Source organism: Homo sapiens, chromosome 6 (genome assembly GCF_000001405.40).
Source record: "Homo sapiens chromosome 6, GRCh38.p14 Primary Assembly".
In the NCBI taxonomy this organism is placed as follows: domain Eukaryota; kingdom Metazoa; phylum Chordata; class Mammalia; order Primates; family Hominidae; genus Homo; species Homo sapiens.
The window spans coordinates 100,878,461-100,902,987 of record NC_000006.12 but is presented as its reverse complement, the minus strand read 5'-3'; the positions used below and the strand labels follow the sequence as shown (position 1 = coordinate 100,902,987).

The following is a 24,527-nucleotide window of genomic DNA, read 5'->3' as shown; positions in this document are numbered from 1 at the left end:
TTTAAACTTCTGACATCTGGCAAGTTGAGTTGGTTCCATCAGGTCAGAAGATAGCTAAACAGGAAAAGACAAAATTCTGAGACTGATGTCAGCTGTGGGTATTGGTAACCTCTATTCATATCAGGTGGAAGGTTGTCTCAACACACAAACTTGCTATTCCTAGAATATAGTTGTCCACTTTCAGAGTCTCAAACTGCAAGAGGATATTACATTCTTTCTGCTTTCATAAAAGAAAAAACAATAATTAGTGCTACATACATAATAAAATTGCCACTTAATCTTGTTGTGCTTATATATGTATTTATAAGTCCTTGCTGTGTCTTTGTGAAAGTTAAAAAAAAAAAGGAGACATTCTCCCAAAGAGCATATATATGTCAGCAATTATTTGTAAAAATTCACTTTAGTGATTAAATAGCCAAGGCTGTGCAGAGTATTTAAATCTGAGACTTTATGTTCAGGCAAGGACAATTTTTCACTTTGTTCATTAATTAATTGTACCAAGATTTTAAATTTTAAAATGAGATATTAGTGAAACCAATATCATATTATTAGGGAAGACCTTATTTTAATGCAACCTTGAATATATAGTTTAAATACTGATTTGCTAAAATTACCCCTATTTTTCTTTCTTCTGCATAATGGCAAAATAAACAACAAGTGATAGAGCTGTAACCAAACAGAGCATCTCCTTTTCTAGAAAATACTGATATCCTGGGTGGAAAAAACAAAACCTTTTTAATAAAGAAGAAAATAAAGTAACCCATAATTGGTTCATCATCAGTCCTGAGGGTTGCCCTTCTTTATGAAATTTCATAGTTTGCCAAAAGATGTGGTTCCTGTATCCAGCACAGAAGCTGAAAGTGATAGAGAAGATAAGGATACTTTTTCTAACACTGAGAAACTGTGACCACCACAACTGGCAAGGGCCTTTGACGGGAAGAAGTTTCCACTTTAGAGCATAGGCCAAGCGGCTCTGAGATGTTTTCTTTCAGCTAAATGGTAAATGTGTCAGAGACTCGATTTCCTTATTTGTTTAACCTAGGTAATAATTAATAAACTTAACTATCAGAAAGAAGAGCATAGCACAATGCCTGGCAAACAGCAAGTTAAGTGTTCAGCAAGTCAGCTATCATCTGTAAAAGGTGCAACATCGTTTTCTTGTCTTGTTACTTTGCCAACTCATAGTAGTTGCTCAATATATATCAATTGAATGAATGGATGAAACTTCAAATTAACCAAGAGAACTAGCTAAATAAATATTTTAGTTTCAGCCTCTTGAGCCTATGAAATCCGAATCTCATGCCTGACTTGAACCTTGCCCTTCCTGACCCATAATTCTGTAAAAGCTGCCTGCCTGGCCTGTGATTTGATTGACTTCAATTTCCCCAGTCCTGCTTGAGCTGCTAAGGTGGCATTTCAGTCTCCAGCCTGTTTCATCCATTTAAGTTCTGTAGAAACACAGAACTTGTTAAATATCTTAACAAGAAGAAAAAAAAACTTGGCAACTCATATCTAAACTTGGAAGGGTGCTAAATCTATCAAAATAGTTATTGAAAATTATTTTAAACAGAAACTTGACATGAATAATACTAAGTAGCCCCTTAACTTTTAAATATTTTAATTTCACTTTTACTATAATAGTTCCATAGTGATGACTCTTCAACATATTTATGTAAAAAAAATTTTTCTTCAAAATTTAGATACAATTTTTGAGGAATTTACTGTTTCTTATAGAGCTCCTTAGGAGTTTCACTCTTTCTTGGGGGAGAGTTGTATACTTGCCCGAACCCCAACCCTGAAAATCACTGAAATGCTGCTACTTAGCCTTGTTTTCCATTCATGACAGTTCTGGCATTACAGTCTACTGGGAAACTCTCAATTTTATTTTGTAACTATTGCCCAACTTTAAAAGGAATGCTCAAGTTTAGTAATCTTGGTAGAATTCTCATACTTATATGTATTATATAATTGGTGGGGGAAGAAAATGTTAGTACTCCTACTTTGATATTAATTCTCTTGTCAAATATGTTGAGATGCTTCACGATCATTCAGAGTTTTTCAAAATAAAAATTCATGGAATTAATCATAGAGGAGACAAATTTTGTAAAAGGAATTTAATTTTAGGGTTTAAAAGCAACAAATTCTCCACATAGGGAAGTGAAGATTCAGAAGGCATGTAGTAAGTAAAGAATTTGGGCTTGCTCAAAGAGAAGGCCTAGCCTTATAGGATTGTCTGTTTGTCTGGGGGACTTGGGTCAAAGTAGGTATCTAGCAATGTGATTTAGGGTGGGGACTAGCCACACATATACAGTTTTATGTTTGGGGCTAGACAACCAAAAATACCAACAACATAACTTAAGTGAGGAGCTTTGGGTCACACAGTGTCACAGTATCAATGGTCCTGGATTCTAAGATTAACCAAATGGGCAACAATCAATCAATTATGCCTATATGATGAAGCTCCCCCCAAAAAACCACTCACAATACTCAGGTAAACTTCCCTGATTTGCAATACTATATGCATACTGTCACACGTAGATGACAGAACAGTGATATCCTGATTTCATGGCTAGAAGTCAAGTGAAATTTCATATTTAAAACTCTCCTGGACAACGTTCTATGTGTGTCTTTCTTTGGCTGATCTTAATCTGTACCCTCTCCATTTAATAAACCATAACCATGAGTATAACAGCTTTCAGTGAGTTCTTTGAGTCTTTCTAGCAAATTATCAAAACTGATCTGGTTTGGGGGACTCTTTAAACCTCCAGTTGGCTTCAGAAATTAGGGTGGGTACTGTGCCTCTAAGTTTGTAATTGGCCCAAACTTCTCAGGGGATTTCCAGGTTTGTTTTAATAAAAAAAAATCACAGCAAATTAACTTGGCTGTCATTTTAAAAGTACCAAGCTGTATTACAATGGTGCAGGATAAAAGTTATGCTGATTTTGGCTTATCCTTAAGGTAAGCACAACCTGTCTTTGAAGTCTAAAGATCAATGACATCTTTAATGTATAAAACTGTATAATAAAAAACATTTTCCACACTGTTATTAGGTTCTCCCATAAGAAAAGTCTTAAAATAGAGGGTGGGAAATACCTCTTTCAAGTATCAAAAAGCCTCACAAATTAAAGCCAGGATGGCAACAAATTGAAAAATAGTGAGTGACATATGATTTCCTTCATAAGAAGTTCAAAATCAGGAATACTAGTCTATGTTTATAGAGATCAGAATAGTGGCTAATTTGGGGTGGGTGAGGTGGGGTAGGGATTTAGGTGCTGACTAGGAGGAATCATAAGGGAGTTGTATGGAGTGTTGGAAATGTTATAAATCCTGATTTGGGTGGTGGTTATGTTGTAGAAAAAAATGGGTTCCTGTCACATGAACAGGAGAAGTTAGGCACACAAACAGTTTGAAGAGTGAGGAGAAATAGAATTTACTAGGCAAAAAGGAAAAAAACCTCTCAGCAAAGCCAGAGGGGTTCCTGTTAACACACCACCATCTCACAGACTGAATCCCAGGTCACCACATAGGAACTGAAGAACCCAGGCTCCTCCCCACTGCAAATGGCGTGAACTTCACAAGGCTCCACTCCAACCCCCCCAGTGCGCAGGCTGGTCAGAGATTCTCTGGGGACCCTCCCCCTTATCTTCCTCCTATGTCTATCATTCCTCCCACTAAAGAAGTACATCTAAGTGCTGTTAGGATAAAGATAAGGACAAAGACCGATCTTAACTGCTTCCTGTTGACAAGGAGTGCTGTTTGGAGAAAACAGCAGTTAGAGCTCCCTCAGAGGACTATCTAAGGGTCCCTAGCAAAAAGGGCCATTGTCCGAGGCCCCGGATGCATGACTGTTTAGAATCTGATGGCCTGAAAGGGAGAAGAGACAATTCAGTTATTAGAAAACATGTATCGAAATGAAACAAGGGTGGAGTAAGGACAGCTCAAAAATCCCAAGGCCCTTTACCAATTTGCACAGGGAGAGGGAGGCCAAAAACCCAGCTGTTTACTTTTGCCAGCATGTCAGGCTTCTGGGTTCCCTTCCCCCGAGCCCAATCCTAAGCCAACCAGTCTAAGGTTTGGGAAATTAACTCTGGCAAGATTGGAGTATGCATTTGAGGAGAGTGTCCTGTAGTACAAAGACACAATTACCTATCTAAGAGAGGACAGAGGAGGAAAAAAGAAAAAAGACTCCTGTTTCAAAGGAGCCCCAGGGGTTCAGGATGCATTCGAAAGGGGTACAGACTGAAGATGAATGCCTAATGATCTAGAAAGAGGGGAGCAGGCATCCCTGGTTCCCATCTCTTCCTAGCAAATAACTGGGATACATGAGAGAGAGGAAGCAAGGCATTGCTCTTTCTTTCCTCTGTTACTGTATCCCTGAGTCCTGGCAACTGCAACAGGGTGCCACCCATGGTTGTCAAAGTGACTTTCACCCATGTTAACAGGGTGGGGGGGCAGGGAATGGGAGTATTTGCTCTTACCCACTTACGCCCTATCTCCCCTGCTGTCAGTAGCCTTTGAATTCCCTAGACCTCATTTATGCCATGGATACTAGAATGACCTTTATCCATGAAATAGAAAGCTTGGCCTAATTGGCAGGAATTAGTCATGCTCACCTGCACTATGCCTTTTAACTTTTTTTTTTTTTTTTTTTTTTGAGACAGAGTCTCACTCTGTCACCCAGGCTGGAGTGCAGTGGCGCAATCTCGGCTCACTGCAAGCTCCGCCTCCTGGTTTCACGCCATTCTCCTGCCTCAGCCTCCCGAGTAGCTGGGACTACAGGTGCCCACCACCACACCTGGCTAATTTTTTGTATTTTTAGTAGAGACAGGATTTCACCATGTTAGCCAGGATGGTCTTGATCTCCTGACCTCGTGGTCCGCCCTCCTCGGCCTCCCAAAGTGCTGGGATTACAGGCGTGAGCCACCATGCCCGGCCGCCCTTTAACTTCTGTTATCATTTGCCTCTGGATACCTCAGATCCATTTTTTCTTTCTAGGGCTTTGAACCAAAGCTTGGAATTGAGTTTGGGACAAAATGTGTCTCAGGGGGAGTTGCATGGACTCCTTATCATGAGCTGCCAAATGCTAGGGTATAGCTGTGGAATGGAGTACTCCTCCAACAAGGGAAGGAAAAGGATGTCTTGTGATATGCCCAGATAACTTGTCGCTATAGTTATGCTTGCTAAGATTTGGGTGCATGGTGCTCGGCTCTGGTTAGCTCCCTTGGTCTTACTTTCCCAAAAAGGAAACCTGCAAGTAATAGACATCCTATTTATTTCCATGACCTGGAAGGATTTGCAGGATAATTATTCAGAACTAGAATATTGATCTAGATTTTTACATTACCCATCCCTCTTGTTCCTTCTGAGCTGCAGCTGGAGATTGCTGATCGGTTCACAGGAACAAGAAGGGTTAGTCTAAAATGTAGGCAAAGTCTTAAAAACAGCTAATGAGTGTAGAATCTAATGGCAAATGTATGATAAGTTTTGAAACATGAGGATCCTCAGTTTTGTAAAAAAAACAAATCATGATGGGATCGAGTTTGCAAAATAGACTTTAGTCTTATACTTGGCCTGATTATTTGCATAAAATGCAGCAAGAATAATTATTTCTTTTAGAAACAGGGCTTTTAGATTGGCTTTGATGGAACTCTGTTCCACAAGGAATCTCAGATAAGACCTTTTAAAGCCGAGCCCAGCCATGGGTTTGTACCCTCAAATACCTGTGAGTTGGGTAATCCTCTCCTCTTAAGGTCCCAAGATAAACTTGGAGCTCCTGGGCCTGTCAGGAAGTGACATTCTTTACTTACCACATGTCAGAAAACCTAAAAGGACTGCATAGACAAGGGTATGAGGCCAGTTTTCCCAAGGGGCTTTTATCAGCTCTGCAAGTTGAACTTGACTCCTTAAAGGAAAGCATATACCCTTCCAGTCAAAGCCTTGTTAAAACAACCAGTTTCTCCAATTGCATCCTGTTGCAAAAGAAAATAGATTCTTATTGCACTGATGTAAACAACTATATTGCCATGAGTTAAGAATACTCATAACAGCCGGGCACGGTGGCTCACGCCTGGAATCCCAGCACTTTGGGAGGCCGAGGCGGGAGGATCACCTGAGGTCCAGAGTTCAAGATCAGCCTGGCCAACACAGTGAAACCCAATCTCTACTAAATATATAAAAATTAGCCAGGCACGGTGGTGCGCATCTGTAATCCCAACTACTCAGGAGGCTGAGGCAGGAGAATTGCTTGAACCCGGGAAGTGGAGGTTGCAGTGAGCCAAGATTGCATTACTACACTCCAGCCTTAGAGTGAGACTCTGACTCAAAAAAAAAAAAAAATAATACTCATAACTAGTTTCCATATTCTGGAAAAGCCAAGCAGAAAGAGAGACAAACATGCTCCGGATTTTGTTCAGAGGAGTATAATTTTCTCAATTATTAAAGGCTGTAAATAGTTCAAAATAAATTTCCTGGACTCTGAAAAACAAAACAAGGATCAGCAATATTCCATGCAAAAGTCAAAAAGATTGATTCAGTTTTCTATGAGTTCAGTCCATTTAGTTAACTCTTGTGTTGCTTGGTATCAGTGAACATTTTGGCTCTTCATGAGTCCTGTGCATTTTTCCTTTATTCCAATGTCACATTTCCAAAGTTATCAGAAACCTGTATTGGAGAGCACCTGTCAGAGTACTATAGCTTATTATAAACCATCTTTTGAAAAGGATTGAAACAAGACAATTGTCTGTGAATAACAAAATGTCCATAGAAGTTTCATTATCTCTGTGTTTTACAATAACTTAACATAAGTACCTTAATTATGATTGATAGCATATACTTTAGACATTAGAACTTTAGAAATGTCATACAATTTTGGAACATATATTAGTATTATCCACCAAAATATAACCTAAAGAAGATTGAACACCATTTTGGCAATCCCATGCAGCTAAACATGTCAAATAATCCTGTTTACCTCTCTTTTAAATACTCCAGGGGCCCTCTGTAGCATCTAAAAGCCAGGCATCAGCAAAGACAATTTCAAAACTGAAGTTTGATTTTGGGAAGCCTTTTAAATATGAAGAGGTTTAAAATACTTGATGTTATGAAACGAAACTCCAGATTACCATAAGTTATTTATTTTGCCAAAATGACTCAGAAATGTAAAAAAGTAAAAACCTTTTGTAACTCTTCATAAATTTTGCTAAAGAGCAGATTAGTGCCTTAAGAGTATCTTGTTGTGCTTTTATTTCAATGCTCAATTTACAGAAAAACCATGTAACACCCTTTTGAATTTAGTCAATATATTCACCCATGCAATTTTTGCAAGATTAATTTTTACAATCCTTCCACCACTTGTTTGAACTTTAGCTTTATCTTATCTAATTTAAAACAATTCTTTAACCCTAGGCAAGAATTTACACTTCCATGCCTTTTTATAATCTTTTACTAAAAAAAGTTACTGTTCTTACACACCAAACATGTAAATCTATTTCTAGTAGTTTATGTTTTAATGTTATAATGTTATAATGGTAACTCCCAGCAATTTTTAACTTTAATATAAAACCTAGCAAGTAGCTTTAATTATGCAGTAGGTGCAGCCAAGGTTTGATTCCTTCCAGCATACTTAAGGGCATAGTCAATTTTATATGTCCCTGGGCCTTACCAATTGTGGAACAGGCAATTCAAAGAGTTCTCACAACCCAAAAAGCAGTATAACTTTAAAACATTTAGCAAACTAGTATCAGACCTGCATAATTTAGTTCACTTACTTACATTTTGATGATATCTGGGATTTTACCAATAATCTTTTTTTTTTTTTTTTAGATGGAGTTTAGCTCTTGTTGCCCAGTCTGGAGTGCAATAGTGTGATCTCGGCTCACTGCAACCTCTTCCTCCTGGGTTCAAGTGATTCTCCTGCCCCAGTCTCCCAAGTAGTTGGGATTACAGGCATGCACCACCACACCCAGCTAATTTTATATTTTTTTTAGTAGAGATGGGGTTTTGCCATGTTGGTCATGCTGGTCTTGAACTCCTGACCTCAAGTGATCCACCTGTCTCGGTCTCCCAAAATGTTGGGATTACAGGCATGAGCCACCGCACCTGGCCCCTATAATCTTTAAGGCTGTTTTTTACTTCTCAAAGATTAAAGTCACATGAATTAAAAAGTATCACAGCTTTTATCTTCCCTTTGAAAAATATTTGATGCAAGCACTCATTTTCCTTTAGGCCAATTAAAGCTATTTTTATAGACATCACAAACACAACACATACATAAAACTACACAGACAGGCATAAGAAAACCCAGTTGCCATAAGATCTTTTGCTTGCCAGTCTCCTACTTGGATTACTGGCCTCCTGGTGGAGCCCTTTAAGAGACAGGGCCAGGAAAACACATAGCCTCTAAGGCCTAATAAACAGGCATAACTGGGGGCAAAAACAGATTTTGAGAGGAATCTATCCACTTTTAATTCCATTAGGAAAACAGAGGTCTCTCCCTTCTCATGCATGCATTGAAAGTGGCAAGGCAAAACGGAGAAAAAGAATTCCATTCACTGAGAACAAAACTTTTTCCACTGGGAGGCCGAGGCAGGTGGATCACAAGGTCAGGAGTTCAACACCAGCCTGGCCAAGATGGTGAAACCCCGTCTCTACTAAAAATACAAAAATTAGCTGGGTGCAGTGGCAGGTGCCTGCAATTCCAGCTACTTGGGAGGCTGAGGCAGGAGAATTACTTGAACCTGGGAGGCAAAGATTACAGTGAGCCGAGATCGTGCCACTGTACTTCAGCCTGGGCAACAGAGTGAGACTCCGTCTCAAAACAAAACAAAACAAAACAAAACAAAAAAACACTTTTTCCAGCCAAACAAGATCCCAGAAGAGAAAAACATTAAGATCTTTTAAATATACCTATAATTTGGATATCCACTTTCAATTAAGCTGAATGCTCTTTAAGAAAATCCTTTTAACACCTTATTACCTGACTTTAGCTGTGCCAAGCGGCCAATATTTCTGGCTTTCAAACTTTACTGAAAGCTCAGGGAAAGGAAAATCCGAGGTGGTTCATGTAGAGGAAGAGAATCAATAAATGGCAAAGGTCGCACAGATATCAAAGCAGAAAGGAGTCATTTCTTTTTTTTTTTTTTTAGGTGTATTATACATTTCTTCTCTTTTTTTTTTTTTTAATTATACTTTAAGTTTTAGGGTACATGTGCACATTGTGCAGGTTAGTTACATATGTATACATGTGCCATGCTGGTGCACTGCACCCACTAACTCGTCATCTAGCATTAGGTATATCTCCCAATGCTATCCCTCCCCCCTCCCCCCACCCCACAACAGTCCCCAGAGTGTAATATTCCCCTTCCTGTGTCCATGTGATCTCATTGTTCAATTCCCACCTATGAGTGAGAACATGCACACATATGTTTATTGTGGCATTATTCACAATAGCAAAGACTTGGAACCGACCCAAATGTCCAACAATGATAGACTGGATTAAGAAAATGTGGCACATATACACCATGGAATACTATGCAGCCATAAAAAATGATGCGTTCATGTCCTTTGTAGGGACATGGATGAAATTGGAAAACATCATTCTCAGTAAACTATTGCAAGAACAAAAAACCAAACAGGAGTCATTTCTTAAGCCAGGATTGAATCTTGGCTGTGTAGACGCTAAACAAAGCATTGCCACAGGGTTACACATCATGCTCTCAAGGACCTAAAACAAGAGGGAGGCCCACAGCAAACTTTGTTGCTGATCATTCAGAAAGTCATGCAAAGCACACCGGATTGGCTATCGCTTAAGACCAATCTCACAAATCCTTTTTCATAACTGAAACTTTACAGAGAATATAAACAGTGATCACTGGGGTCCTGGCCTGGTTAAAATGTTTTCCAAAAAGAAAAAAAAAAAGTAACCCTCTCACATAAAAATTAACTGCTGACTAGATAGCGAAAAGGAAACAAAAGTTAAAGTGCAGGGTTGGAAAGATGCCTGGGGGAAGAACTTCATATTCTTTTGCAAATTGGTTCCTTTCCCCCAGGCATGGACCCAGCAGGAGTCTGGCCAGCCAGCTGTGCAGAGCCCAAGCCCCCAAGGCGGCCCTGGTGCCTGGATAGTGACTGTGGCTCATTCCTGCCATGCAGCTGGACACTGCACACACATGTGGCAGTCAGGGCCATGCACTCCACTCAGCTGGGAGAGAAGGCGGGTGGGGAGCCACTGCTTGCCCAACCAACCCACAGGCATGCTTGTGGCTGTTGTGGTGGGTGTGGACCACCTCCCATATTGTAAAAGAAAAGAAAAGAGAGGGGAGGGGAGGGGAGGGGAGGGGAGGAGAAAAGATAGATGCTGTTACTGTCCTCAAAAAAAGAAGAAAAATGTCATAGGAACAAAATACTCAGAAATAAAAGTGAGAGGTTTTCAGTCCACATTTCACTCACCCTTCTTCATGTCCCAAGTTCTGGGTGCCAAAAATGTTGAGAAAAAAAAAAAGTTCTTGCCAAGTGACCAGGTAAAATTAGGCATGCAGACACTTTGCAGGGTGAGGGGGAATGGAATTTACTGGGCAAAAAGGAAAAAAATACTTTGCAAAGCGAGAGGGGTTCCTGTTAACAGGCCTCACAGATTGAATCCCAGGTCACCACACAGGAACTGATGAGCCCAGGCTCCTGCCCCCTGCAAATGGCGTGAATTTCCTGAGGCTCCACCCCATCCTCCCCATGCCCAGGCCAGTGGGAGCTTCTCCCAGGACCCTCCCTTATCGTCCTCCTGCATCTATCAGTTGCATGAAGTGGTGTATAGCACTGTTCACTTAAGGTTTCTATACTTTGGAACACTTCAATGTTTAAAAAAGCTATAGCTCAATTTTTAAAAGTTCTTGGTCAAATAATAAAGGAAACACTATTATAAAAAGAAAATTATTTAACAAATACTTACTTATGTCTACTATGTGTCAGGCACTCTGCTGGTACTCGTGGATACAACCTAAAGCAAAAACACAGAAAACTGGCATATACACTGAATCAGCCACTTTTATCCTTTAAACTATCACCAGCAACAAAAGAATTTTAAAATTCAGTAACTTTATATTCTAGAATGAATCCTACAAATACACCTTTTAAGAGTTTACATATGAAAGGTTTTATAAATAAATTCTACCTATACTTATATGATCAATTCAAATTTCAGTTTTCCACAAAGGCTTTTAATCTCCTGCAGCCAACAGGGGCCTATCTTTAATTTAGACTCCTTTTGTATTCATAAAAGAAGTATCACACAACTCAGCACCTAATTGTTTTTGAAAAGTCTTGTGAATGTTAAATTTGTCTCCTACCCAAACTGTAAGTTCTTGTAAATTCCTTGAGAATAGAGATCATATCATATTTTTCTTTGGAATGTTTCACAATGCTTAGCAAAGTGTGGATTATGAGATATATGCTTAATTAGTTGTGGGTAGAGTGAATGAAAATTTCACTTAATCATAAAAATACTTAAGAATAGTTTAAGTTTCAGGAAAAATTAATTTTTAAAATAATTAATATCCAGCATTTTATTTTGCCATCTTCTACTAGCTCAATTTTCATATGCTTGAAAGAGATAAAAGTTATTATTGACATTACATTCCATTCTGTTCCCTGAGGTTCAGTTCTGATAAGAACTGAAGAGAGGCTACCCTTATCTGCTTAATACCAGTATGTTTGCTTTAACTGAGGAAAAGCTTTATGGGTGAAACATTTATCTCTAAATATCTCTTTATCTCTTACAGTAATAGAACCCATGCTTTTTAACTAAGTATATAGTTGCTTAAAATGAGGACTGTATGTTCTAGCTTTCCTTGCAACTGGGTGTCACCATGTGACTTAAGTCTCGTAAATAAAATATGACTGTAAGTGATAGGTATACTTTCTTTTTTTTTTTAATCAATTAGCTAAAAATTTAATTTACATACATGTTGGCCTGGATTAAAAACAAAAAAGTTAGTTTCCATAAATAGCAGACTTTAGGGCTGTATGACCCAATGACTAAAAATAAAACCAGGAAATTTTTACTAAAAGCTCAAGGATAAAAATGAACACTGGCTGGCTATTGAACTCCACATCTGACAATAATTACTGACAGTTTAAAAATGACATCCACAATATAACCTCAAGAGGACCAGGTTTATTTGTCCGACAGAGCAGCTCAAAATGTTGAGGCATCACTTGTTTGGATTATGATGGGTTATTCTCAAAGTTTATTTATTTAGAAGGGGAAAGTGATTATAGAAAAATACTTGAAGTAATTTGCCAATGAAGTCACAGATTCTAACAATAATCCACATCTTAGATTTTTAAGTGTGTAGTTTCATAGTTTAAACAAATTCTGTCAAAGAGCTAGTGAATATACTTTATCACTTTAACTTTCCATGAAAACCAAATAAAAATCACATCTGAATGATTTACTTCTATGCTTTTATCTGATTGTATACATATGATGTACTACACATCCAAGTACAAGAGGCAGTTATCTTCTCTGAGAGGTGCAAGAGTTGTTCTTTCATGAATGCCCTCTAATAGTGAAACCAGCACTTTTTATATATGCATTCATGTGCATATATACGTACTTCAAAAAGCAAAGCGTCATCTCTTCGTCCATTGTTAACTTAATGGTAAGAATGGGGGCCACCAGGCATCAGTGGAGTACCAGAAGGTCCTGAAGGCACTTAGAAAGGATTACTAGGAGTAGGATAGAGTCCTGGTGTGGGATACGATCCTGTAGGGGCAGGATATGGTGCTGGTGGTCCCCAGGCTCCTAGTGGAACGGTGCCCCATGGAACAGGTGGTGCTGCCCCAGAGGCTTGGGGAGGAGGAGGAACAGGATATGGCCCTGGAGATGGATAGGGCATATTAGGGGTAGGATACTGCCCTCCCATTCCTGGCACCCAAGGTCCAGAAGACATGGATCCCCATGGACCTAAAGGACCAGCTGCAGCTGGATCTGTGGGTAGCACCATATGGTCTGGGTAGCTCTGGAAAGGGCATATTTGGTATAGGATATGGCCCTATGGGCCAGGGCCTGGCACAGTTGAGGCTGGATAAGGACCACCAGGTGGGGGGCATGATGGTTCAGAAGGAGTAAAGGGTGCTGGGGGTCCTGGAGGTGGTCCGGTGGGAGGCACGGAGAGATACATTCCTGTTGGTACTGGTCCAAAAGGCACAGTGGAGGGTGTTGCACTTGGTGGGAGTCCAGATGGCACCGAAGGTGGAGTACTCGGATTATTCCAAGGGTTGGAGCCTGGTCAGCTTTGAGGAGGTTGGCCAGGTTTTGTATTGCTCACAGCAGAGGTTTTGGCAGGGGAGTGTTCAGGTAGTGCATCTGCCAACGAAAATTCATCAGACATTTTCCCAGCAATATCCGAGACTGCAGGAGGGTCTAGAAGCGGCGATGTGTCCAAGGGACTGGGCCCTGAAGAAGCAGGCGCAGCCTGACTGACTGCAGCGAGAGCAGCGGCGGCAACAGCACCAGCAGCACCAGCAGCGCACGGCTCCTCCTCGATAGGTGTACTTTCAACTCATGTTCCCAAAGATATGTCCTTTTCTTCTCCTCTTCCTTTAGACTGCTGCTTGAAATATATATGGTCATGACTGTGAGCCATTTTGAACTATTAGATGAAAACAACACTCTAGAAATGGCAAAGTGACAAGAAAGAAGGTACTCTCGTCCCGGGATGACTAAATTGAGAAAGCAACTACACAATTTCAGGAGTACCCATCACTAGCCTATTATATGAGAAGAAAACTCTATTAAGTTGTTGGTTTGGGGTCTCATATCCTAACTTATCTCTTGGAGGAATGATAGAAAGACAACAGTTGGCAAGGAATGATTCTTCCCTTTTCACACAATGCTTTAAGGATAAATATATTTCAGCCCCAAACTTTGGTGGATTATTTGCTTGTATAAGAAAGTCAAATCTAGTTTCAGATATTAAAGGCTAGATAAAAATCATTAGTTTTGAAGCTAATTACTTCCAATTTTCTTTTCTCTAGGTCTCATGCACACACACTAACATATGTTCATAGGTATACCCACATTTATCATGGGGTATCACCTGGCATTTAGGAAACCAATTGGACACCAGGTTAAATTAACCAGTGACAACTGTGACTTGTAGTTTTCATTTCATATGTTTATATTGACTGAGAATGGTGTTGCTTTTTGCAACCTAATCTATGACTGCATTCTTGAAATTGGATTTTGTCTGATTTTTGTATTTTATAAAAATTTAATATCTCACTACCTGATTGGAAGTAGTTTAAAATATTTTTGCAATGAACAATTCATAATTTCAAGGACACCAAAAGAAACATGGCTTTCATATTGCATATTCACTTCAAAATTTATATAGCTATACATTCCTCAACACATTAAATGTTCCCTGTATTTTCAAACATCCTCTACTTCTTCCCTCCTGTGTCCCAGGAAAACTTCTCTCTACCAAGGTTAAGAATAACTTCACCCACAGACTTCAGTGTATCCTTGTCTGCCTTTACCTTATTATTTCCTTACTTGATTCACTTCTTATAGGTTCTTTCCTTCTATTTATATGTTTTTTTTTCTATCCTAAAAACAACATGCAAGTAACAGTTTTTTTCTGGACCTTGATATTTCTTCCATATATTGCCCTGCATTTTTCATTCATTTATTAGACAAAAACAATTATCATCACTGTTTTCACTTTCTCACTTCTCATTTACTCTCTTACACTTGACATCTAATGCCATGCCTACCATGTTACTAAATTGCTTCAAATCATCAATCACTTAAATTTCCAAAGACATTTACTCAATCTTCACCCTCCTTAACTCTGAAGCAGGAATTACCTTGGTGATTGAAGAAAACTTTTTAAATATACTCTTCGTTTATCTCATAACTCTTTAACCACTCTTTTTTTCTCCTTCATTGGCTCTCTTTCTTCCTTTCGGTACTAATTTTCCTGCATATGTACTGTTTTTTACCCTTTCCATGGTAATATTTTTTAAAAATTTCTTTTGAGGAACTACTCTTTCCTCCCTTTTATTCTGGCACTATTTGGTTTACTATATCTTCATTTTTTGTTTTACTTTTTTTAAATATTGATTATTATTATTTGAAATTTTTTCTTTTCATAGGTTATTGGGGCACAGGTAGTGTTTGGTTACATGAGTAAGTTCTTCACTGGTGATCTGTGAGATTTTGGTGCACCCATCACCTGAGCAGTACACACGCATGCAATTAGTAGCCTTTTATTCCTCACCCCCTTCCCACCCTTTCCCTGAGTCCCAAAGTCCATTGTGTCATTCTTATGCCTTTACATCCTAATAGCTTACCTCCCACTTATGAGTTGAGAATGTAAGATGTTTGGTTTTCCATTCCTGAGTTACTTCACTTAGAATAATAGTCTTCAATCTCATCCAGGTTGCTGTGAATGTCATTAATTCATTCCTTTATATGGATGAGTAGTATTCCATCGTATATATATATCACAGTTTCATTTTTTTGTTTTTCAAATTTCCTATCTTACCATCTAGTCTATTGAATTCCTTCTTTTTTTTTCTCTTATGTGACCTCACTTCTTGAATCCTCCATGCTCTTCTCCAATGTATACTGCTTGCTCTCTAGACTTGCTGCACAGCCATCCTGCAGAGATTTGTCCTTACCTTTCTCTAGCATCAGCATAACTTTTTGTCCTTATTTTGTTGGATTGTATGGCCTAGTGACATTCCAAAAGATCACCCAGGAGAAAAATATTCTACATCCTTGTTAGTCTGAAAATATCTTTATTTTACTCTCATAGTTAATTGATAATTTGAATGAGTATAGACTTGTAGACTGAAAAACATCTACAACTACAATTTTGAAAATATTCTGTCATGTCTTCAGGTATGCAGTGATGCTGATAGCATCAGTCCCTATTCCTTTGTTGATTATAAGTCTTTTATGTTTAGGAACTTTGGGGATTTCTTCTTCTTCATAATTTTTATTTGTGGCATTACATGATAATATCTCCAGGCATGAGTTTTTTAATCTATTTTTCAATACCCTGAGTCTACTCAAATCTGAATAGTTATTTTCTTCTCTGCTCTAAAAAAAAAAAACTTATAATTTTCTCACTCTCCCTCCCCTTTTTTTTAAAAATCTTTCTCATCTACTGGTTGAGCCTATTGGATTGGCTCTCCACGACATTCTTATGTTTTCTTTCTTATTTTCTCTCTGCTATGTATACTATATTCTTATAAGATTTCTTCGATTTTATCTCCAGTACTTCTCTTGAGTTTTTAAGTTAACAAATTTTTAATGTCTGGTAGCTCTTTTTGTTCTATCATTGCTCCTTTTTCAAAGTATCTTATTCATATCTTGTAGACATAATATGTTCTGAATTCCATATTAATTCGGGTGCTTCTTTAAAATCTTTTATTTATGCTTCCTTGCCTTCTTTAGAGTTAGTTTTTCTATGTTTTTCTTTGTATTTTTCTCTCATGATGCTGATTTTCCTTATTTGCCTGTTAATTCTTCATGTTTGTTCATATATATATATATATATATATATATATATATGTATATAAAATTGGTAGTTGATGCAGTTTTCTTTTTGTAGGTAAGAAGTCTGCCAGTTCTCTCTCTCTCCTATGTAGGAATTGTGAATACGTGGCTGGGTTAGGTAGGACAGGGCCAGGAATGCCAAATATGAAGTTTCACTTTACATGAGTAGGCAATTAGCTTATTCTCAGGATGCTGGCCCTGAATGCTTGAATAAGAATGTTTTTCCTTTGTGTCATCAACCTAAAAGTCTTCACTTTTCTGTACTAGTTATTCAATTAATTTGGAGAAGATTTGGGGGGTCAGTTTTGGTCTTTTTGTCTGGTGGCAGATATTAATATCTTTTGCTTGCTCTCAGTCTATATGTCTGAGAAAGCGAAATGTGTATGGTGATAGATTCAATTGTGCCATATTTTATCCCCATTTTCAGCCCTTATTCTCACTTCTGCCCTATCCTGTGTAGCTTCTCCACTATATTTTTTAGGCTATGGTTTTGGTCAAATCACTACTATTTGCTTTGTATCCCAACACATTTTTGAAATTTCATTTGCTTCTCTTGACATCATCTACTTTTTTCTACTCATGTAAGTGCATGCATACAGGCACACATCATCTTTACTCCTTCACTTATTCTTCATTTTTTCTGTTTCTTCATTTTTATTTCTATGGTGTGTAGGAAAGGATAGTAGGCAAATGATATGCCGAGTTCACCATATTGAACAGTAATTCAAGAAAAACCCTTTATATATTGTAAGCACATATTTTGAAACCTGGGTAAAACATATTGCAGGATTCTCCGAAGCTGATTGTCCCTTGGCCCATATGCCCACCTATACAACATTCTTATTCAAAGGGAAATGAAATTACTTTGGGAGAAGCTCACATTTTTTGAGTTGTTTGGTACTTTTAAAAAATCATCTTACTAGTTAAGAAAGAGGAAAGAAATGGTGGTTGAGGAGGCAAACAACACTGTCTGCCATGGTAGTAATCTAACTTTTTTCTTTTCTAATATCATTTATTTAAAAGAGTAGAAAAACATTTTAGAATTGAGTCTTTTATTAATCAGCATTCCTCAAAGGTTAAGCATCAACTTCAGAGCAGGAACTGCACTGGAGTGCAGTAAAGATGGAATTTTAAGACTCGGTGTTGCAGGATAAGGCAGGGGTGAAAAAGGGCAGGGAAGAAGTGACTGACAATAGATAAAATAAGAAAGGCCTAGAAGCTGAGGCTATGGCACACTGGTGAGCTAGGCAGACCTAGTGCACACACATACTGAAGGAGGTATCCAGAGACTGATGGGCTGGAAATGGTTCTGAAACTTGGCAACCCATCCTTACAAACCATGAAGTGGCAAATCTGATAATGAAAGGCTAACATACTAAGGATAATGAAACATAGAAATGAAAAAAGTCAAAAGCATGAATGATTTTGTTGAGCTGTAAGAAATAGGTTGGAAACACTTCCACCTTGAAATTTTCTGTTCTTGAGACAATTTTGAGATAATTTAAGGCACTCTTTGCAAAATAATCATGTTACACACATACAGAAGACACACACAAACATATATAATTTTACCTAAATGTGTTCATATTATGTATAGATTGTGTTGCAAGCTCTTTCATACAACTGTACATTTTGGACATATTACCATATCAAGCAATACAGATTCACATTATACTTTTTTAATGCCTCTATATTTAGAGATGTATTACAATTTATTTAAATAAATCCAATATTGAGCCTTTTTTTGGTATGATACTTTTTTTTTTTAAGACAGTGTTTCACTGTTACCCAGGCTAGAGTGCAAGGGTGCGATAATGGCTCACTGTAGCCTTGACCTCCCAGCTTAAGTGATCCTCCTGCCTTAGCCTCCTGAGCAGCTGGGACTATAGGTGCATGCCACCACACCCAGCTAATTTTCATTTTTTTTTTTTTTTTTTTTTTTTTTAGAGAAAGGGTTTTGTCATGTTGCACAGGCTGGTCTCAAACTCCTGGGCTCAAGCAATTCACCTGCTTCAGCCTCCCAAAGTACTGGGATTACAGCTGTGAGCCACCACACCCAGCCATATGATATATTTTTAAATGCAATGTGGAGTTTTGTTTTGTTTTTCAATTAGAGATGGGGTCTTGCTCTGTTGCCCAGACTGGAGCTGAATGGCATGATCATAGCTCACTGTAGCCTCAAACTCCTGGCCTCAAGAGAGCCTCCAAATTCAGTCTCCTTGGTAACTAGGACTACAGGTATGTACCATCAAGTCTGACTATTTTTTTTCTATTTTTTGTAGAGATGGGGGTCTTCCTATGTTGCCCAGGCTGCTTTTGAACTTCTGGCTTTAAGTGATCCTCCTGCCTCAGCTTCCCAAAGTACTGGGATTACAGGGGTGAGCCACTGCGCCTAGCCCACTGCAATGAGTTTTAATTGGTTTCCCAGCCATGCACTAATTTCAACCCACCCTACCCAATATTGCCAAAGTAATCTCCCAATCCCATTTTGTGACTGCCAAACACTGACTGCCTATTATACTCAATTCTTTAAATTTAAAATTGAGTCTCCTTATAGACTAGTTTGTTTACATTTTAACTTTGTCACTACCTTCTATTAACAATGTTCCATTACAGATAAATAGGTTTTCATTATCTAGAATGCAGTTATAGTCTTGTTTCTTGTCTTTGCTCATGGCATACTTTCTGGACGGTCTTTCTCTTTGTCATCAGGGCCATTTTCATTAGGTTGTCTTTCCACTAACATTTGGGGAAGCTGGGCTTGATGGCAGGTACCTGTAGTCCTAGCTACTTGAGAGGATGAAGCAGAAGAATCATTGAGCCCAGGAGTTCACGGCTGTTGTGCACAATGATCATGCTTGTGAATACCCAGTGCACTTCTGCTTGCGCAATACAGCAAGACCCCATCTCTTGAAAAAAAAAATGGGGAAACCCTGGGGACTATAAAGAGGACAAAGATAGCTCTTAGAGTTCAATGAAGTAAGACCATCCCTCAGTGTCCACAGGGGATTGGTTCCAGGACACTCCCACATACCAAAACCCCAGGATGCTCAAGTCCTTACACACAATGGTATAGTATTTGCATACAAACTATGCACATTGTCCCATATACCTTAAACCATCTCTAGGTTACTTATAATACCTAATACAATGGGAAATGCTATGTAAACAGTTGTTACATCCATATTGTTAAGGAAATAATGACAAGAAAAAAAGAGTCTGTGCGTGTTCAATGCAGACATTACCATTCTTTTTTTTTTTTTTTTTCAATTGTTTTTGTTCCAAAGTTGGTTGACACATATACAGAAGCCATGGATACAGAGGGCTAACTGAATTTCCTTCCAGGCCAGGACTATGTAATACAAATATGATGCAAGCCACCTATGTAATTAAAAATTTTCTAGAAGTCACATAAAAAGTAAAAATAAAGTTGAAATTAATTTTAACATATTTTATTTGATCCATTATATATTATTTCAACATGTAATCGACATAAGAATTACAATATTTTACATTTGTTTTCTAAGTCTTTGAAATCTGGTGTACATTTTGGACTCATTGCATGTCTCAGTTTGGACAAGCCACATTTCAAATGTCAAGAGACGTATTTAACTGGTGGCTACCCCAATGGATAGGGCAGTTCTAGGTAGTCTATTTTCAGTTCCTCTCTTCTCCCTTAAGCCTCTGGAACTGTGATGGGAATAATCTGTCATGTGAATTCCTAGCACTTATCAGCACCTCTCATTATCACTTGGCCTCCTTGCATTATTTATTTTTGTGATGCATTTGTCTTGTCTCATGAACTAACTTGTAAACTCTATGAAGTCCAGGACCAAAGACACATGTAATCTCAAGACTGGAAATATCTTTAACAAAACCATCAACTAATTATTCTGTTGATGTGTGGCTCCCCTGTACCAAGTCCCTATTAAGTGAGCTTCAGAATCTCCTTGAAGCAAAATTCTGTGGTTGAGGTATTCACACATGCTAAGGTAGGCAATTCTTTGGGTCGTGCTACAAGGGCATCTTCTTTTCAGGATCTTAAATCTGTTCCCTGAAGTTTGCATCACATGAAACAAATCAACTTCACATGATAGGTCATTTCATATTTGGAGAGAGTCCAGTAGTTTTCTCTCTTCTAGGTGAGTCCTGGAAGGTTTAATCAATCCTTCTTCACTTGCCCTGTTTTTGAGTTCTCGTCATCATTTTGCTCTTCCCTGATATAATGCCAGCTTGATTAAAGTCTTCAAATGCTGAACACAGCACTTCAGAGGTGGTCTGACCAGTAAAGACAATAACTGGATCACTATTGGCTGCCTCTACAAAACAGTTCTACCAGGCATCGGGGCACATTACCTTGAGGAAGCGGGAATGGCAGAAGAGAGCCACAACAAACATATTAACTCATACTATCTTTGCATTGTTGGCTTTTAGTCTAGAACTCTTTGCAGATAAACCACACAATTCTTTAGGTTAGTTTTTCTTCGTATCTTCCTATCTTTTCAATCGAGTTAGGGAATCTTTGGGCTTTCTGTTTTTGGAGGAGGTCTTCTGACCGAAGAGCCGACTTGCAGAGATCACTTTGAGGGAACTAAGCTGAGAATCCAGAAAGCTTATGGAAAACAGGCCTTGACACCAGAGAACCATGTATACTCTCTAGCAGCCAGAGGGCTTTGGCTGAAAACGACGATAGCAACTACCTGTTTCTTCATTCAAATTGCTCTCCTTTCCTTTACCTTTAATAGGAATTATTTCCTCCACATATTTACCTTACAGAGAAGGGCGGGGAGAAGACGCGGCAGACTGAAGTAAATGCAGGGAAAAAACTCACAGGTAGAGAGGTAGAGACGGCAGGCCTGGCCCGTTGCGGGCAGCCAGGGTAAAGTGGAGCGTCCCGCTCCCGCCCTGGGGCGCATCCTCGCCGCCGCCGGGACCTTCCGCCTCTGCTCCTCCGAACCCAGCGGACTAGAGGCTGGAGGCGGGAGGCGGAGCGGCGCGCGCACGCGGGCGGGGCAGAGGGCCCGGAGTCGACGAGTCGACGTGCCGACGTTGGCGCTGCAGCGGGGCGGTGACGTGTAGGCCGGCGCCAGCTCCACTCTGTCCCTCCTCGCCGGGTCTGTGCGTCTTTGCGTCTGTCTGTCTGACTGATGGTCCTCACACGCGGTTCCCTGTGACTGGGCGCGACCCCGGCAAGCGCGGCTTGGAGGGCGGACGGGGCGCGGCGATACAGCTGCCCGCTCGCATCTTTGGCCCTGCGCTCAGCTCCTCACCCGGCGTGGGAAGTTAAAGTAAAACCGAAAGGGAAGAAGGCGCGGTGGCAGGAGCTGACAGAGTGATGGGAAACGCGTGAGCCAGGCCGAGAGGTGAGGAGGTGGAGGTGGAGGTGGGAGGACGAGAAGGGTCGCCGCGGCCAGGGGAGCTGGCTGGAGGCGGGGACGGCGAGGCGGGCTACGCGACCCGCCAGAGATTCTCTTCCTGCCTCCGGGGCAAGTCCCGACCTGTCATCCTTTTCAGTGGCATGAGGTCGAGTCCGGGGTCTCGCAACAATACCGCCCATTCCTAGAGTTTGTAGGTGGGGTTGGGGATAGAAAACTTAACCTAAGCTACATATTGTCCAAGTGTTAAGCCACAACGTGACCAGATGAGGTTTTTCTGTCCCATGCATGGGTAATTTGTTTTCTTTTTTTCTGTTACAAAGCCTTGATAACTTCGTTTTCTTCACGTAGATTTGGGGAAAGAAATCTTCCTCATATTTTTCCCCCAACACACTGGAAAGTAAATAGGTAGCTGACCGTGATGGATTGTGGGTGAATTTCGCAATCAAGGAGCCTATAATGTCATTTTGAAATAAATAAATGTGTATGTGGGTGCTAGGGAGGTTTTGTGAGTACTGGGCAGTCATTTCAAATAGGTTTCTTATAAATTAACTTACTCATGGAATGCAGTGTGCTAATGGTATTTGCTATTCTTTGGTTTAAAAGAAGCATAATTCTAGGGGCTGGTAAAAGTTTGATGTGTTGTCACTTGTGCATTCAAACTCATGGTTACATTTTCTTTCTTTCCCTAGGTTAGGTGAGATTGACAGCCATTTTCTCCATCACCAGATTTTATGTTTCATAGATTGAAATCCTTTTTCTGATTCTCAAAGTTCTCAAATGTTGAGAATTAAGCTTTTGGTTTTACTATGGATTGTGCTCCAGTTTATGTTGTCTCTTTTTTTTAATGATGGTTATAATAGTCTTGCATGAGAAAAATGATCCTTAAAGATGCTCTTAAGCTTAGGCTAAATAATCCTATTTATATGAGAAATTAATTTTTCATGGTTCAGCTTTCTTGATCCCTGCTTAACAGTTTTTTGTCATTCATTCATTCAAGTCTTCCTATGTGTCAAACGCTGGGCTAGGCCTAGGAGAGCAAGAGAGAGACAGTCTCTGTGCTCATGAACTTTCTATAATCCAGCAGCCTCCTTTTAAGACAGAATCTTGACTAGGGTTCTTTCTCATGCCATGGATCTGTAGTTAACCAAAACAAAGCTTTTAAAAGAAAAAGTTATTGTCAATGTATATATGTAATTGGCATTGAAAGGGGAACAGATGATCTTGCTTTAACAGCATGATTTGATATTGCCTTTGATCAAAAAGTAGTATATGTACCAGTGGTTTGCCATTTCAGAAGAGTAAGTTTTTCTTTTTCAAAGCTTGTTTAAATATAAAGTTCACAGTTCTACCTCAGTTTCTACCTCAAAAAAAATAAATAAATAAAAAGCTTTTTCTTTTGAGGTAGAAATCAGTTTCTTTCCAGTCTTCACTTTGGTCTGATTGATCTCCTGTGTATCTCTGGAACCCCTAGGCTCAAGCAGTCCTCCTGCATCGGCCTCCCAAAGTGCTGGGATTACGGGCCCCATTTTGCCTTTTTGTATGCTAATGAATTGACTAAGAATTTTGTCTTAGCTAGCTGGCTGCTCCTAGTAGCTTCAGGATGGGGGCTGGTTACCAGAAAGGTCAAGGAATTATTAGAAGGTTGGGACTTTCATCCCCACCCCCTAACTGCTTAGGGAGGTGAGAGAGGGGCTGAAGATTAAGTTGATCACCAGTGGCCAAAGGGTTTAATCAATTATGCCTATGTAGTGAAGCCTCCATAAAAACTCAAAATGACAGGGTTCATAAAGCTTCTGAAAGCTGAACATGTGGAGATTCCTTGAGGTGGTGTGCCCAGGAAGTACTTGGAAGTTCTGCATGGAAATTCCCTTCCCTTATAAATTACCCTATCCTATGTATCTGTTCATCTGTATCCTTTGTAATATCCTTTATAATAAATTGGTAAACGTGTTTCCCTGAGTTCTGTGAACCACTCTAGCAAATTAACCGAACCCAAGGAGGGGGGTCATGTAATCCCCAATTTATAGCTGGTCAGTCAGAAGTACAGATAAAAAAGCCTGGAGCTTGTAATTGGCATCAGAAGTGGTGGGCAGTCTTGTGGGATTGGGCCTTCAATCTGTGGGATATGACAGTATCTCTAGATAGTGTCAGAAATGAATTGGAGAACACTCATCTGATGTCTGCTGCAGAAGTGATTGTTTGCTTGGTGCATGGGGAGAAACTCATACACATTTTGTCACAGACATCTTCTGTGTTGATGGTTGTCGTGTGAGAGCAGAGGAAAAACGGTTTGAGTTTTTTCCACTCTCACAAGAGGGCAGGCGTAAATTCCTTCAGTCTGCCTCCCAGAGGCTCATGGATTAGGGTGGAATGAGAATTTTGTCTTTCAGACATAATCTGTGCTAGGCCCTTTTCCACTGGACTTTCGTGGGAAGAGTTATAATACATACTGCCTAATATGTGCTGGGTCTGTTCCACGTTTTCTTGTGCTCGTTTCATCTTTGTGGGATATTCTGGAATTTTCTTTCTGACTATGCTTGTCCTTATCTGGTGTTAAAATATTTTTTTTTATTTGTTTTCCCAAG

The 24,527-nt window shown here is 39.5% G+C and overlaps 1 protein-coding gene, 1 long non-coding RNA gene and 1 pseudogene across 7 annotated transcripts in view, besides 1 other annotated feature; 1 reads left to right on the top strand and 2 right to left on the bottom strand.

The window, feature by feature from the left end:
- The window catches only part of LOC107984041 (uncharacterized), a 367,164-nt gene extending 345,633 nt beyond the window's left edge, over positions 1 to 21,531 (bottom strand). For all 3 annotated transcript variants that reach the window (XR_007059692.1, XR_002956381.2, XR_002956382.2), the window contains exons 1-2: positions 21,334 to 21,531; positions 10,943 to 10,990 (exon numbers count right to left, since the gene is read on the bottom strand). This is a non-coding gene — a long non-coding RNA (uncharacterized LOC107984041). The remainder of the gene's footprint in view (positions 1 to 10,942; positions 10,991 to 21,333) is intronic.
- On the bottom strand, positions 12,451 to 13,537 carry LOC728098 (mitogen-activated protein kinase 1 interacting protein 1 like pseudogene; annotated as a pseudogene).
- ASCC3 (activating signal cointegrator 1 complex subunit 3) overlaps positions 21,659 to 24,527 on the top strand; it is a 373,136-nt gene continuing 370,267 nt past the window's right edge. For all 4 annotated transcript variants that reach the window (NM_006828.4, XM_011535394.4, NM_001284271.2 and 1 more), the window contains exon 1: positions 21,659 to 21,927. The gene's annotated coding sequence lies outside the window, so the exon portion shown is untranslated. The remainder of the gene's footprint in view (positions 21,928 to 24,527) is intronic.
- Positions 21,696 to 21,815: an enhancer, noted in NCBI's record as "active region_24867". NCBI's record gives its function as "activates an Ori minimal core promoter by ATAC-STARR-seq in GM12878 lymphoblastoid cells {active_cell/tissue: GM12878}" and the evidence as "EXISTENCE:reporter gene assay evidence [ECO:0000049][PMID:35858748]".